The sequence below is a fragment of the Homo sapiens genome, chromosome 17, assembly GCF_000001405.40.
Source record: "Homo sapiens chromosome 17, GRCh38.p14 Primary Assembly".
Classification (NCBI taxonomy): Eukaryota; Metazoa; Chordata; class Mammalia; order Primates; family Hominidae; genus Homo; species Homo sapiens.
The window spans coordinates 36,575,918-36,589,903 of record NC_000017.11 but is presented as its reverse complement, the minus strand read 5'-3'; the positions used below and the strand labels follow the sequence as shown (position 1 = coordinate 36,589,903).

The 13,986-nt window shown below is 40.9% G+C and overlaps 1 protein-coding gene across 7 annotated transcripts in view; it reads right to left on the bottom strand.

The window, feature by feature from the left end:
• Window positions 1-55: 55 nt before the first annotated feature.
• The window catches only part of GGNBP2 (gametogenetin binding protein 2), a 44,930-nt gene continuing 30,999 nt past the window's right edge, over window positions 56-13,986 (bottom strand). For 4 of the 7 annotated variants that reach the window (NM_024835.5, XM_047436774.1, XM_017025107.2 and 1 more), the window contains 8 exons: window positions 11,718-11,921; window positions 10,485-10,659; window positions 8,366-8,560; window positions 4,454-4,604; window positions 3,939-4,064; window positions 3,706-3,854; window positions 2,659-2,907; window positions 56-696 (listed from right to left, as the gene is read on the bottom strand). In NM_024835.5, the coding sequence (NP_079111.1) occupies window positions 493-696; window positions 2,659-2,907; window positions 3,706-3,854; window positions 3,939-4,064; window positions 4,454-4,604; window positions 8,366-8,560; window positions 10,485-10,659; window positions 11,718-11,921 (1,453 nt within the window). In that variant the 3' untranslated portion in view covers window positions 56-492. Of the gene's footprint in view, window positions 697-2,658; window positions 2,908-3,705; window positions 3,855-3,938; window positions 4,065-4,453; window positions 4,605-8,365; window positions 8,561-10,484; window positions 10,660-11,711; window positions 11,922-13,986 lie in introns of all 7 variants that reach the window. The other 3 variants (XM_005257689.4, XM_011525266.3, XM_011525265.4) reach the window with 1 other exon arrangement.

Sequence of the window (13,986 nt, the reverse complement as noted above, 5' to 3'; positions counted from 1 at the left end):
CAAGTGGCAAATACTAAAGTACTGCCACATATTAAGTAGAAACATGTACAGCAAATTTTACTGTGCGTATTAATAAATATTCTTTATTTTAAATTTTGCACATTGCGCTTTAACATTACATCCAAACATTTTGCAAGTGGATGTCTACTTTGTAAAACCATATATTCAGCTCATTGTCATTTCTGTACAGAATTATAAGTACAACATTACTTTTTGCCACTAAGTTGCTTTAGTAAGTCTCACAGGAAGAGAAACATTTAATGAAAAGAGATGGCTTAAATCATATGGCAGGCCTGCGCAGCCACGCAACTAAAGACACAAGCCTGAAGAAAGAACTAATGAGGATACCTCCACCGTCTCCCAAAACAAGAAAGAATCACATTGATTTAAGATAAAATTTTGCCATAAGTCACTAAATTAAGAGTTTTTCGAAAGAGAAGGCGCAGTAGTCATCGTGAGTGTTTCATTGAAAGACAGAGCTATTTTATTTATTTAATTTGCTCCAGCCGTTGTCAACCAGCCACTACAAATGGGCCTCTTGTGATCATTTAACCGGCAGTATTTATTAAATTTCTCCTTCAGATGCTGTCGGTATTGTTCTCTATTGCTGTAGAAAGACTGGTTATTAGCCATAAATGACTGTATTTCATCTTGTGAGATAAAGATTTCCTCATCTGAAGTACATTCAGACTCATCCTGCAAATTAAAGCAGTAGTTAAGACTATGACTTAAGAATGCAAAATGTTATGTAATGGAGGAGGACAGCTAAAAATTAAACCAGTCTAACTTTTTAGTTTCACATCAGTCACATAAAGCCTTTAATTGGAGTGTTTGCAGAATAAGCATCATGTCATTCTGCCTAAGAAAGTAGTGAGAATAAAATCCAACTCCTTGAGTTGAAACCTTGAATCTATAATTTCTCCTAGAAGCCTATGAGCCTAGCAAACTACCACCATACCTTGGCCTTGAAAAAATAACTAATTAAAGATGTTACAACTAGTTACCATATTTTAAGTAGCCAGACGTATCTCCAGTTAGTCCTATCTTGAAACAGTCATCTCTACAAACTAAGTAAAAGATAACCATTTTCTACTTAAGAAGTAAACTTTTACAACCATTAAAACTTTTAAACATTAAACTTATACAGGTGGTGGCTCACACCTGTAATCCCAGCATTTTGGGAGGCTGAGGCAGGAGAATCACTTGAACCTTGGAGGCAGAGGCTACAGTGAGCCAAGATCGTGCCACTGCACTCTATCTAGCCTGGGCGACAGAGCGAGACTCCTCAAAAAAAAAAAATAAATAAATATTAAAACTAAACTTTACAACCATAAAAAAGAAAAAAACTAGCTGGGCGCGGTGGCTCACGCCTGTAATCCCAGCACTTTGGGAGGCTGAGGTGGGCAGATCACCTGAGGTTGGGAGTTCGAGACCAGCCTGACCAACATGGAGAAACCCATCTCTACTAAAAATACAAAATTAGCCAGGCATGGTGGCACAAGCCTGTAGTCCCAGCTACTCGGGAGGCTGAAGCCAGAGAATCGCTTGAACCTGGGAGGCGGAGGTTGCGATTAGCCGAGATCGCACCATCGCACTCCAGCCTGGGCAACAGAGCAAAACTCCACCTCAAAAAAAAGAAAAAGAAAAAAGCTAGTATTCCGAAGGATTTGGTTCCATCAGGACTCTAATGAAAAGGACACCACTCTTCTTCCTCCCCTCCTCCAAGGGCCACCTATACTACGCACTGGGTCAGTTGGGGATCAGGTAAAAAGTCTCAGGACTGGAGTCTTACCCTACATGACACCTAAAAGAAGAAAGCAACCTCTAGTTCAAATTGTATATTCTTTCTGGTATGGAAGGGTGGCTACCATAACTTGCCAATCAGAAAGGCAAAGTTTGCTTACAGTAACCTACTTCAAGGAGGCAGACTACTGAATACAATGCTACCTCTATCCTTTCTCCTAACTACAGATGGTCCTGACTTAACAATGGTCAATGGTTCTACTCAGGTTTTTTTTGAGACAAAGTCTCACTCTGTCGCCAGGCTGGACTGCAGTGGCACGATCTCAGCTCACTGAAACCTCCGCCTCCTGGCTTCAAGTGATTCTCCTGCCTTAGCCTCCCGGGTAGCTGGGACTACTGGCACACGCCACCATGCCCAGCTAATTTTTGTATTTTTAGTAGAGACGGGGTTTCATCATATTGGCCAGGATGGTCTTGATCTCTTGACCTCATGATCCACCCACCTCGGTCTCCCAAAGTGCTGGGATTACAAGCATGAGCCACTGCACCCAGCCTTATTTGGGATTTTTTTTTTTTAACTTTACAAAGGGTTTATTGGGATGTTGAATGTATTTTCAACTCGCAGTATTTTTGAGTTATAATGGGTTTATTGGAATGTAACCCCACTGTAACTCAAGGAATACCTATAATGTCTTCTACTGAGACAGAGGCGGCCATGGAAACGTGTTCCAGAGTAGTTGCATAAACCACGAGTGGAAGGACAGAAATGAAGTCCCCAAACAATAATGAAATACTACCCTTAATTTCTCATAAGCTTCCTTCAACTACCTACCTTAAGCCCTCAAATACTATCCCCTCCCACATCCACCCCGTTCCCAAACAGTTATGTACAGTAAGACCACATGGAATACTTACAAGGAGTTCAACTAAGCTCTTGGCACCTTTTCCGGAATCGGGACCAAACAACGTTTCTGTAGGTTCTGCAAACTGTGGTACATTTTTCCTATGCTCAAACCAAGGCAATGGCTGCCCACCCTTTTCAGAGCTGCAACAGCTTTCAGGATGTGTATCTTTGGTCTTGTCACGGTGAAACACTGTGTGCATGGTATTTCCTGAGGTCTCTCGATTACCTGGATCTGTAATACAGCTTCCAAGCTTCTGGATCTGATACCACAGCAAAGGATTTCACAGGTAAAAAGGCATGATATAATAGCAATTATTCTTTAAAAAAAAAAAAAAAAAAGCGGGGCACGGTGGCTCATGCCTACAATCTCAACATTTTGGGAGGCCGAGGCAGGTGGATCACCTGAGGTCAAGTGTTCAAGACCAGCCTGGCCAACATGGTCAAATGCCATCTCTACTAAAAATGCAAAAATTAGCCAGCCATGGTGGCATGCGCCTGTAATCCCAGCTACTCAGGAAGCTGAGGCAGGAGAATTGTTTGAACCTGGGAGGCAGAGGTTGCAGTGAGCCAAGATTATGCCACTGTACTCTAGTATAGGCGACAGAGTGAGACTCCATCTCAAAAAAATCCTGACATAGTATTAAACCTTTAGAAGGAATACTAAGTAATAGTAGCAGCTGGCATTCATTTTATTTTACCAGGCACTTACTATGTACTAGACACTATGCCACACCTGCCAATATACATTCACTTCACCTTCATAGAACCTAATATGATAGGGACTAAACAAATTGTTTAAGATTACACAGCTTATAATTTTAAAAGTATAAAAAGAACAATTGAATTTCTGACTCACAAGGACTGTTGCACAAATGATCACATCTCTCTCTGCCCCCAACCCACACTCTCACACGATGAGCACCCAATGGAACTGCATAAAGAACTCATTCTAAAAAAAGTAAATCCTAGCAGCTAAGCTGCACATATGCCACTCCAAGGAAAACACGTGTTCTGTCCTCAACAGCAAAGGTTTAAGAATTACAAGTTATGACACTTACATGTTCATCACATTTCAGTATCTTGCTTTTCTTCTTCTTCTTTTTATTTTTTCCTTTTGTGTCGTTCTCTTCAGAATTTGCCCAACATTCAACACAACTATCACCATCATCCTCTTTGTCTTCACAGTGATGAACACAAGAGTCATCACCTGCAGAAATCAATAATCCTTCTTATTTATGTTCTTAAGTCAGCCATGTAGTAGAAATAACTGGGAAACTTAATGTGAGCCTACCGTGTTCATCATGATTACAAATGCCTTCAGTGCAGGCAACATCCGAACCCTCCCGAGAACCTGTTTCACTCCCTTCCATGCTAGATGAATATCCACAATCACTACCATTACAGTGTGGAGATAAGCCTGAGAATAAATCAAGTGAGAGTTACTATTAACATACCAATAAGTATATTAGGACAAAGAGTGAACTCTTTGGGGACCACAGAAAAATCTCATAATTAATGGCTTATTAAAAGTAGAACATTTCCAATGAAGGATTTTTTTTTTAAGTAGAAAGTAAATTAAATAATGAAAATATGATTAGGAATTTACCATTTTTCGTTTTTGTCAAAAATAAGTCAAAGAACATAAAGAAAAAGGAAATATTAAGTATCTGACTAAATTATATGATATTCTTGGAACTATAAAGCAGTTTTAAAATTCTAGCTCACAGAATCTCTAAAAGCTCTTACATTTAACAGTAAGAAAGAATAGAGTTAAGAGTTCATTTTAAAAAGAAATTATTTACTTACCTTTCTTTATTTTAGGGGACCCCAAAAGATTGCCACTGCTAGGACAGGTACATGATGTATTTTCATTGGTAACAATTACTTCTACACAAGTATTACCATCTTCAGTGCTGCCACAGGCTTTGCAGCTGCTATTTTCTATGAAGTCTGTTTCCTTTAAGGATCAACATTAAGAGAGAGTCAAGAGCTTTACTCCATAACAGCTACATTTTATTCCCTAGATCAAAACTATTTTCATCCTAATAGTAAGATGTGGCATTTTCACTGTACTGACATTTACACTGACAGTACAAAAGTAATGGTGGGTAAAGATATTAGTCCTTAGCACAAATCAAGACAGTACTAACCAAAGTGTGCTAAGAATCACTGTATTCTTCAACTGTCAAGCGCTCTCACAAAAAGATATTTCACTTATGAATGTCTCTGAGGAAGCTGTAAAAATATTAATTGTATCAGATATCAACCACAAATACATATACTTTTTCCTTTTTTTTTTTTTTTGAGTACGGTCTCCCTCTGTCACTTAGGCTAGAGTACAGTCATACAATCATGGCTTACTGCAGCCTCAAACTCCTGGGCTCAAGCAATCCTTCTGCCTCAGCCTCTCAAGTAGCTAGGACTACAGAAGCACACCACCAGGCCTAATTTTTTTATTCCTTTGTAGAGACAGGGTTTCGTTATGTTGCCCAGGCTAGTCTTGAACTCTTGAACTCCTGGCCTTAAGCAATCCTTCTGCCATGGCTTCCCAAAGTGCTAGGATTACAGGCATGAGCCTCCACGCCCTGTCAACAGAAATCTTTTTGACAGTCTATGTGGGGCCAGGTGCAGTGGCTCATGCCTGTAATCCCAGCACTATGGGCAGCTGAAGCAGGTGGATCACTTGAGGTCAGGAGTTCAAAACCAGCCTAGCCAAGATGGTGAGACCCCGTCTCTACTAAAAATACAAAAATTAGCCGGGCAAGGTGGCAGGCGCATGTAATCCCAGCTACTCAGGAGGCTGAGGCAGGAGAATTGCTTGAACACGGACGGCAGAGCCTGCAGTGAGCCAAGATCACACCACCGCACTCCACTGTGGGCGACAGAGTGAGACTCCGTCTCAAAAAAAAAAAAGTATGTGACAAATGGGAAGTATGCTTAAAGCATTTCTATTGCAGCTGTCTCAAGGAAACGTACTTGTGCCACTTTTTGAGGTGCAAGCTGAACTTTTTTCCTGGAACATCAAGTTCACTTGAACGAATAAATGAGAGACAAACTGAGAGACTTGGATATTTAGCAGGCATTTTCTCAAAAATGAATGAAGTCAATCTGTTACTTCAAAGGAAACAATGAACAACAACTGTTGTCAATGACAAAACTCAAACATTGAAACAACAATCAGAATTTTGGCCTTGCAACCAGCAGTGCTATGAACTTGAAGCTTCCTAATACTTGGACTTTTCTGACCTGCATAATTCAGTGAACTTTGAAATAAATTCCAATGCATGATGTTACAAAACAATGCATGAGTAAAAGATCTATTCAAAGTCCAATATAGTCCAACGGATTCTAATTTAACAGAGTACAAAAAGGTCATTGATAAGGTGCCAGATTCCATATTGCAATGAATCTTTTAGAAACTACCACTGGTCAAAGTGTAGTATTGAAGAATATCCACAACTATCTGAAAAGGTTTATATTAAAATACTGCTCCCAGCCAGGCACAGTGGCTTATTCCTGTAATCCCAGCACTTTGGGAGGCAGAAGCGGGCAGACTGCCTAAGCTCAGGAGTTCGAGACCAGCCTGGGCAACAAGGCAAAACCCCATCTCTACTAAAAATACAAAAAAAAATTAGCCGGGCATGGTGGTAGGCGCCTGTAGTCCCAGCTACTTGGGAGGCTGAGGCACAAAAATCGCTTGAACCCAGGAGGAGGAAGTTACGGTGAACCAAGATTGTGCCACTGCAATCCAGCATGGGTGACAGAGCAAGACTCTGCTCCAAAATAAAATACTTTTCCTACCATATAATATCTGTGTGAGACTAGACTTTCTTCATATGCTTCAACCAAGCCAATAAATGGAAACAGATTGAATGCAGAAGCAGATATAAGAATCTAGTATATTCCGTCAGGCGCGGTGGCTCACACCTGTAATCCCAGCACTTTGGGAGGCTGAGGCGGGCGGATCACGAGGTCAAGAGATCGAGGCCATCCTGGCCAACATGGTGAAACCCTGTCTCTACTAAAAATACAAAAATTAGCCGGGCATGGTGGCACACGCCTGTAGCCCCAGCTACTTGGGTGGCTGAGGCAGGAGAATTGCTTGAACCCGAGAGGCGGAGGTTGCAGTGAGCCGAGATCATGCCACTGCACTCCAGCCTGGCAACAGAGCGAGACTCTGTCTCAAAAAAAAAAGGAATCTAGCTTATTCCTTTTAAGATGAACATTAAAGATATTTGCAAAAAATATATATAGTATAATACCATTCTTCTCACTCTCATTTTATTTAGAAAATAGTTATTTTTGAAAAAATATTTAGTTAACATTATTTTTGAAGGAGTAGCTTAAAATTTATCATTTAATTTCTAATACAGTAAATATTGGTAAGTATAACCCACATAAACAAAAGCTCATTGAGTACCTTAATTTTTAAGAATGTAAAGGGATCCTAAGACCAAAAACTTGAGAACTGCTCTAGGTCATGCACAGAGGTGGCTTTCTATATTTTGACTTTGATCTAATAATACATTAAAGTCAGGTAAAGAGATAACTACTCAACATTGTCTTAATAAAACATAGACATGACATTAAAATTCTGGCTTATACAGACTACAGTAGGAAAAAAGCTGATATAAAAACTGCAGGAGCTCACATCTGGAAAAGCATAGTAAAAATGCCCAAATCTAGCAAAAAGCCATACAGTTAACCCTCCATATCTGTGGGTGCTGCATCCATAAATTCAACCAAGAATCGAAAATATTTGGGGGGGAAAAAATCAACCTGCATCTGTACTGAACATGTACAGACTTTTTTCTTGTCCTTATTTTCTAAACAATACAGTATAACAACTATTTAAACAGTTTTTATTTATTTTGAGAGAGTTTCACTCTGTCGCCCAGGCTGGACTGCAGTGGAGCGATCTTGGCTCACTGCAACCTTTGCCTCCTGGGTTCAAGAAATTCTCATGCCTCAGCCTCCCAAGTAGCTGGGATTACAGGCGTGAGCCACCATGCCCAGCCTTACATAGCTTTTACATTGCATTAGGTATTATAATTTAGAGATAATTTAAGAATACAAGAGGCCAGGCACGGTGGTTCATGCCTGTAATTGTAGCATTTTGGGAGGCTGAGGTGGGAGAATTGCTTGAGCCCACAAGCTGGAGACCAGCCTGAACAACATGGTAAAACGCCATCTCTACAATAAATACAAAAAATTAGCTGGGCCTGGTGGGGTAAGCCTGTAGTTCCAGCCACTTGGGAAGCTGAGGTGGGAAGATGACATGAGCCTGGGAGATGAACGCTGCAGTGAGCCATGATTGTGCCACTGCACTCCAGTCCGGGTGACAGAGTGAGACCCTGTCTCAGAAATAAAAGTATAAGGAGGATGTGCATAGACTATATGCAAATATTACACCATTTTACATCAGGGACTTGCACATCTGCAGATTTTGGTATCTACAGGAAGTCCTGGAATCAAACCCCACAGATACCAAGGGACGACTGTACTTTTTATTTTTATTAAAAAAATAAAATAAAATAAATAGAGATAGAGATCTCACTATCTTGCCCAGGCTGGTCCCAAACTCCTAGGCTCAAGTGATACCTCCACCCTGGGCCTCCCAAAGTGCTGGGATCACAGGCGTGAGCCACCACACCTGGCCTGTACTTCTATCTACAAGCAATACATACACACTTAAGAGTTGATATTAAGAAATATTACCTTCTCTTGGCTTACTTCCTTTTCATCTGCTGTTTGTAAGGGAGTAGGAATATCACACACACACTTATTTTTTCGTCTATTCTTCCGTTTTTGGCGTTTCTTTTCTTGCTTGAGTTCTCTTACTCGTTCCTCTTCTGAAAATTCCTCACAAAGTTGTTCCAATCTGCTAATACCCTGTACTTTTTCCACGGTCATCTATTATAAAAATAAGGTTGAGGGTGAATATTGGTCAGAACTTCTTTTCTTTTTTTTTTGAGACGGAATCTTGCTCTGTCGCCCAGACTGGAGTGCAGTGGCATGATCTCAGCTCACTGCAAGCTCCACCTCCTGGGTTCACGCCATTCTCCTGCCTCAGCCTCCTAAGTAGCTGGGACTACAGGTGCCCGCCACCACGCCCGGCTAATTTTTTGTATTTTTTAGTAGAGACGGGGTTTCACCGTGTTAGCCAGGATGGTCTCGATCTCCTGACCTCGTGATCCACCCGCCTCAGCCTCCCGAAGTGCTGGGATTACAGGCGTGAGCCACCGTGCCCGGTCCCTTTGTTTTCTGTGGTAATATACACACTCCTATTCCAAACCAGCAAGATTCTAGTTTTAAATTTCAGAATTTTTTTTTTTTTTGAGACAGAGTCTTGCTCCATCGCCCAGGCTGGAGTACAGTGGCACCATCTCAGTTCACTGCAACCTCTACCACCCAGGTTCAAGCGATTCTCCTGCCTCAGCCTCTCAAGTAGCTGAGACCACAGGCATGCGCCACCACACTGGCTGATTTTTGTATATTTAGTAGAGACAGGGTTTCGCCATCATGGCCAGGTTGGTCTCGAACTCCTGGCCTCAAGTGATCCGCCCACCTTGGCCTCCCAAAGTGCTGGGATTACAGGCATGAGACACCATATCTGGCCTAAATTTCAGAATTTTAACACAACAAAAGTAAACATACCATTTACTGACATAATGAAAAAACTATTTAACCTGATTAGATGATCTAGTCTCTGAAGGTACAAAAATACAAAGAGAAAACGAGTAAGGGCTGGGCGCCGTGGCTCATGCCTGTAATCCCAGCACTTTGGGAGGCCAAGGCAGGCAGCGGATCACGAGGTCAGGAGATTGAGACCATCCTAACTAACATGGTGAAACCCTGTCTCTACTAAAAATACACAAAAAATTAGCCGAGCGTGGTGGCGGGCGCCTGCAGTCCCAGCTACTCGGGAGGCTGAGCCAGGAGAATGGTGTGAACCCAGGAGGTGGAGCTTGCAGTGAGCCGAGATCATGCCACTGCACTCCAGCCTGGGTAACAGAGCGAGGCTCCGTCTCAAAAAAAAAAAAAGAAAAGAAAAGAAAAGAAAGAAAGAAAAATAGTCCTTATACCATGGCATTCACACAGCATTTACTTCATACTACTGGACATTAGCAGGCAAAATGAAACTCACTGAAGGTTTTAACATTTCCTGCTTAATCCTTGGGGGCATTTAACTTTTCACTAGTTATGTGTGTTTTTTTTGTTTTGTTTTTGTTTTTGTTTTTGTTTTGAGACGGAGTTTTGTTCTTGTTGCCCAGGCTGGAGTGCAGTGACGTGATCTTGGCTCACTGCAACCTCCACCTCCCAGGTTGAAGCAACTCTCCTGTCTCAGCCTCCCAAGTAGCTGGATTACAGGTGCCCGCCACCACGCCCAGCTAATTTTTGTATTTTTAGTAGAGACGGGGTTTCATCATATTGGTCAGGCTGGTCTCAAACTCCTGACCTCAGGTGATCCGCCTGCCTCGTCCTCCCAAAGTGCTGGGATTACAGGCGTAAGCCACCATGCCCAGCCTCACTAGTTATGTTTCATAGCAGCATCTTATTAAACATCTTCAGTTTTCTACTCTGAGAAAGTCTAAAAACCAAAGCTAGCAAAGTTAACAGGATTAAAAACATTTTTTTAAATCCATCAACTTCTTCTAAATCCCAGTTCCCTAGACCACCCCCACTCCAACCCAAAGCCATGTAACAATATCCAGCCAAATCCATGAAGCTCTATCAGTGATGGACAGTCCTTTTAGGCACTGGTGGCTTACATTAAGATTCAGTCCAATAACGTGACTAAGCAATCTGAGATACTGGAACAGCCCACTGTTCTTACCTCAAAACTCTTGCGTAAAGCATCAACACCAAGATAGAAAAGCATCTGCCATGTCTGCTCTTCTGCCCGTAGCTTCTGCCAGATTCGATGCAGTCTTTCATAAAGATGAATTCCCAAGCAGGTCAGAACTTCTTCTTGAGCTATATCTATTGTCTTTGCATGCCTTTCTCTTCGCCTATAAAAGGGAATAATCACACACTAATACCTTTAACTGAAACAGTAAAAGATGGATAACACAGCTGCAAGTTCAGGTTTTAAACACAATGTGCTTACCTAGTAACAAGACAGTTATACATTTACACTCAACGTATATGTTGCTATACAAGCATGCATGTCCACAACCAATGAGAAATACACATGCAAGTAGAATTTAGTCCTCGTATTGCTAAAAATAAAGTAATTCAGGAACTGGCTCTAAAAAGATGGGTTTTAGGGCACAAAGCAATCACATAGAAGTGTCCAGCTCATAGTAGACACAACAGTTCCTTTTACTTTCCAATTATAGCAAAACATTTTTTCCTTCTTTAGGTTTTTTGTTTTGAGGAGGAATTGAGAAAGGCAATGCCAAAGTGATTCATCATGGGCAAGAGTCCTCCACCAGGCCAGTCTTTACAAGTGTTCACAGAACTTTGGCGATAAAAAAGCCCTTTGTATTCTAGCAGAAAGTAGGCACTCAAATGAGGGTTGATACCCTAAATACAAAAGGAAATGCATTTGATTTATTCTATTAACATCATCATCTGATTTTATTTTTACAACAAAGCCAGAGATACTACTTTAGGTTTCTGTGTAGTAATAATAATATAATATACACAGTTCGTGAATTACATTCAATAAGGCATTTCTTAATCCCCTACTGCAAAGATCTGACTTATGCAAAAACCATTATTGTGAATAAAATTTACACATGATAATGCATGGATAGAGGGAGAAAAATCCCTTCTAATCATTTTCAAATGAAAATGATAGTCTGTAACAATGAAAGCCAAAAAAGCCTGCCTCCCTTCAAGCAAGAACTAGCAGAGGACTGAACCAAACACCAGAGAACAGTTTTTCCCTATTTTCAGTCAATTAAGAAATGCATACTTTAAAGAGAAGCAAAATCTTTACAGGCATACTTTAATTTATACATATATCATATGTACTGAGGCAGAAGGTGATGAAAATAAACTTTCAGTAATAAAATGAAGCAAAGCGCTAGATAGCCCATTCTAGCAAATTACATACTCATACCCTCCTGCGAACTCTGGCTCAGCACGACCCAAAAGATGTGCAATGAAGTCTGTTTCACAGCAAACATGTATGTGTCGTTCATGTGGACAGCACCGCAAGCCTTCATAAAGTGCAGCACAGTAGCCCTTTTCTTTGCTGCAGTCAAGTTCACCAATAAGGATATTGTATGCTCGGAGGACTTTATTTTTGCAATCAGTGCAAAACCTGTTGAAAAGAAAAACCTTAAAATTAAGAAATGGCTGTGCAATTATTTCTTGTGGCATATAACAGTGTACTAGATGATGGCACTCTCTCCCATCTACAGCATCCAAAATAAGCCTCCATACACACATTTAAAACATACGCACATAAGGTAAATACAAATTTAGGGATTGCATAAATACAGATAGACCTTCATTGGCAAATTATTTTTAAACTAGAGAAACACATAGCCTAAAAGAATGAGGCAGATACATACCTATTATTTCATAAAATGCATGCCCAGAAAAGTATTAGTTGCCAAGAACTAGCATATCTCCACTTCAAAAGCTATTTGCGCAGGTCAGAAATAAAACAATAGAGGCAACAAACCAATGACTCTTGATTGGTTTGTTCTCTCTCCTTCCAGTCTCTGAAAATAGATGGTCTCTTCAGCAAGGAGACCTTGACTCCAATTTCTATTACAACATTTTAATATTTCACTAGCTAAGCATTTGAGGATAGGGGTAGGGGTTGGGGTGGGGAGAAGAATGGGAAAGTGGTGTGTGCATTTTTTAATTTTCTGATTATTTCCAAAATGCCAAATTCTTTCTTCCCAAAAATGCCTATTTCTCAATAACAAACATAATATAGACAAAATATACATGGAAACTGGTTTAAACTTAAGTGTATAAAATGTGGCAAAAGAATAGAAGAGTTTGTGAATGTAGAGAAGGAAGAAAATTTCTTTTAGAAACCAAATATCAATCAATCAGAAAGAAATAATAGAGCCTGGTTTCTTTATCTTTGAATTCCTGGAACAAGAAGAACTTGGTCAGGTGGAAAAGCCAGGCTCACAATAAGAGTAAATGGCTAAGAAGATTAGTTAAGTGAAACAAGGAAATTTTGATCTCTTTGATTTAAATTCATCTCCCAGATGAGCTCATCTATGCGTATGGCTTCAACTAACATGTCTATAAAGATGACTTGTGACTCTACAGCTCCATTCAAATCTCTGCTATTGCCTGAGGGCCAGACCCATATCGAAAAGTGACAAGACATGGCAGATGTCCAATAGGCAACACCTTAAATTCACTGTCCAAGGGTAATGCTGTTCTATTCCTATGTGCCTTCTCAATCCCTGTTAATAAGAACACTGCCATTCACAGCCATTCAGAGTCACCCAGGCTGGAAATCTGAGTTAATTCCAACTTCTCCCTGGGTCTTCCTATTGAGTAGAGCCAACTAGTATTCATTCTTTCTTGTTTCTCCTGTAGGTCCCTATTTTCAATTCCCTCTGGCATGGTTTAAGTTGCCTATGCTATATATATATATATACACATATATATACATATATATACATATACATATATACATATACACACACACACACACACACACACACACACACACATATATATATATTTTTTTTTTTTTTTTTTTTTTTTTTTTTTTTGAGACAGAGTCTCTCTCTGTTGCCCAGGCTGGAGTGCAGTGGCGCCATCGAGGCTCACTGTAACCTCTGCCTCCTGGGTTCAAGCGATTCTCCTGCCTCAGTCTCCCGAGTCGCTGGGATTACAGGCGCCCACCACTACACCCAGCAAATTTTTTGTATTTTTTAGTAGAGACAGGGTTTCGCCAAGTTGGCCAGGCTGGTCTTGAACTCTTGAACTCAGAGGATCTGTCCGCCTAAACTAAGCTAGAGTGCAGCGGGACAATCATGGCTCACTGCAACCACCGCCCCCCAGGTTCAAGCAATTCTCGTACCTCAGACTCCTGAGTAGGAGGGATTGCATGCGCCCACCACCACACTGGGCTGATTTTTGTGTTTTTAGTGCAGATGGGGTTTCACCATGTTGGCCAGGCTGGTCTTGAACTTCTGACCTCAAAGTGATCCCTCCACCTCAGCCTCCCAAAGTGTTGGGATTACAAGCATCAGCCACCACGCCCGGCCTAGACTTCTTACTATAGTATTTACCCTTCTACTGCCATATCTTTGTTTCATGCACACACGTTTTGCTGGACCAATAGTAGATAACAATGTTTCTTAAAATGAAGATATGGGCTGGGCGCGGTGGCTCACGTCTGTAAT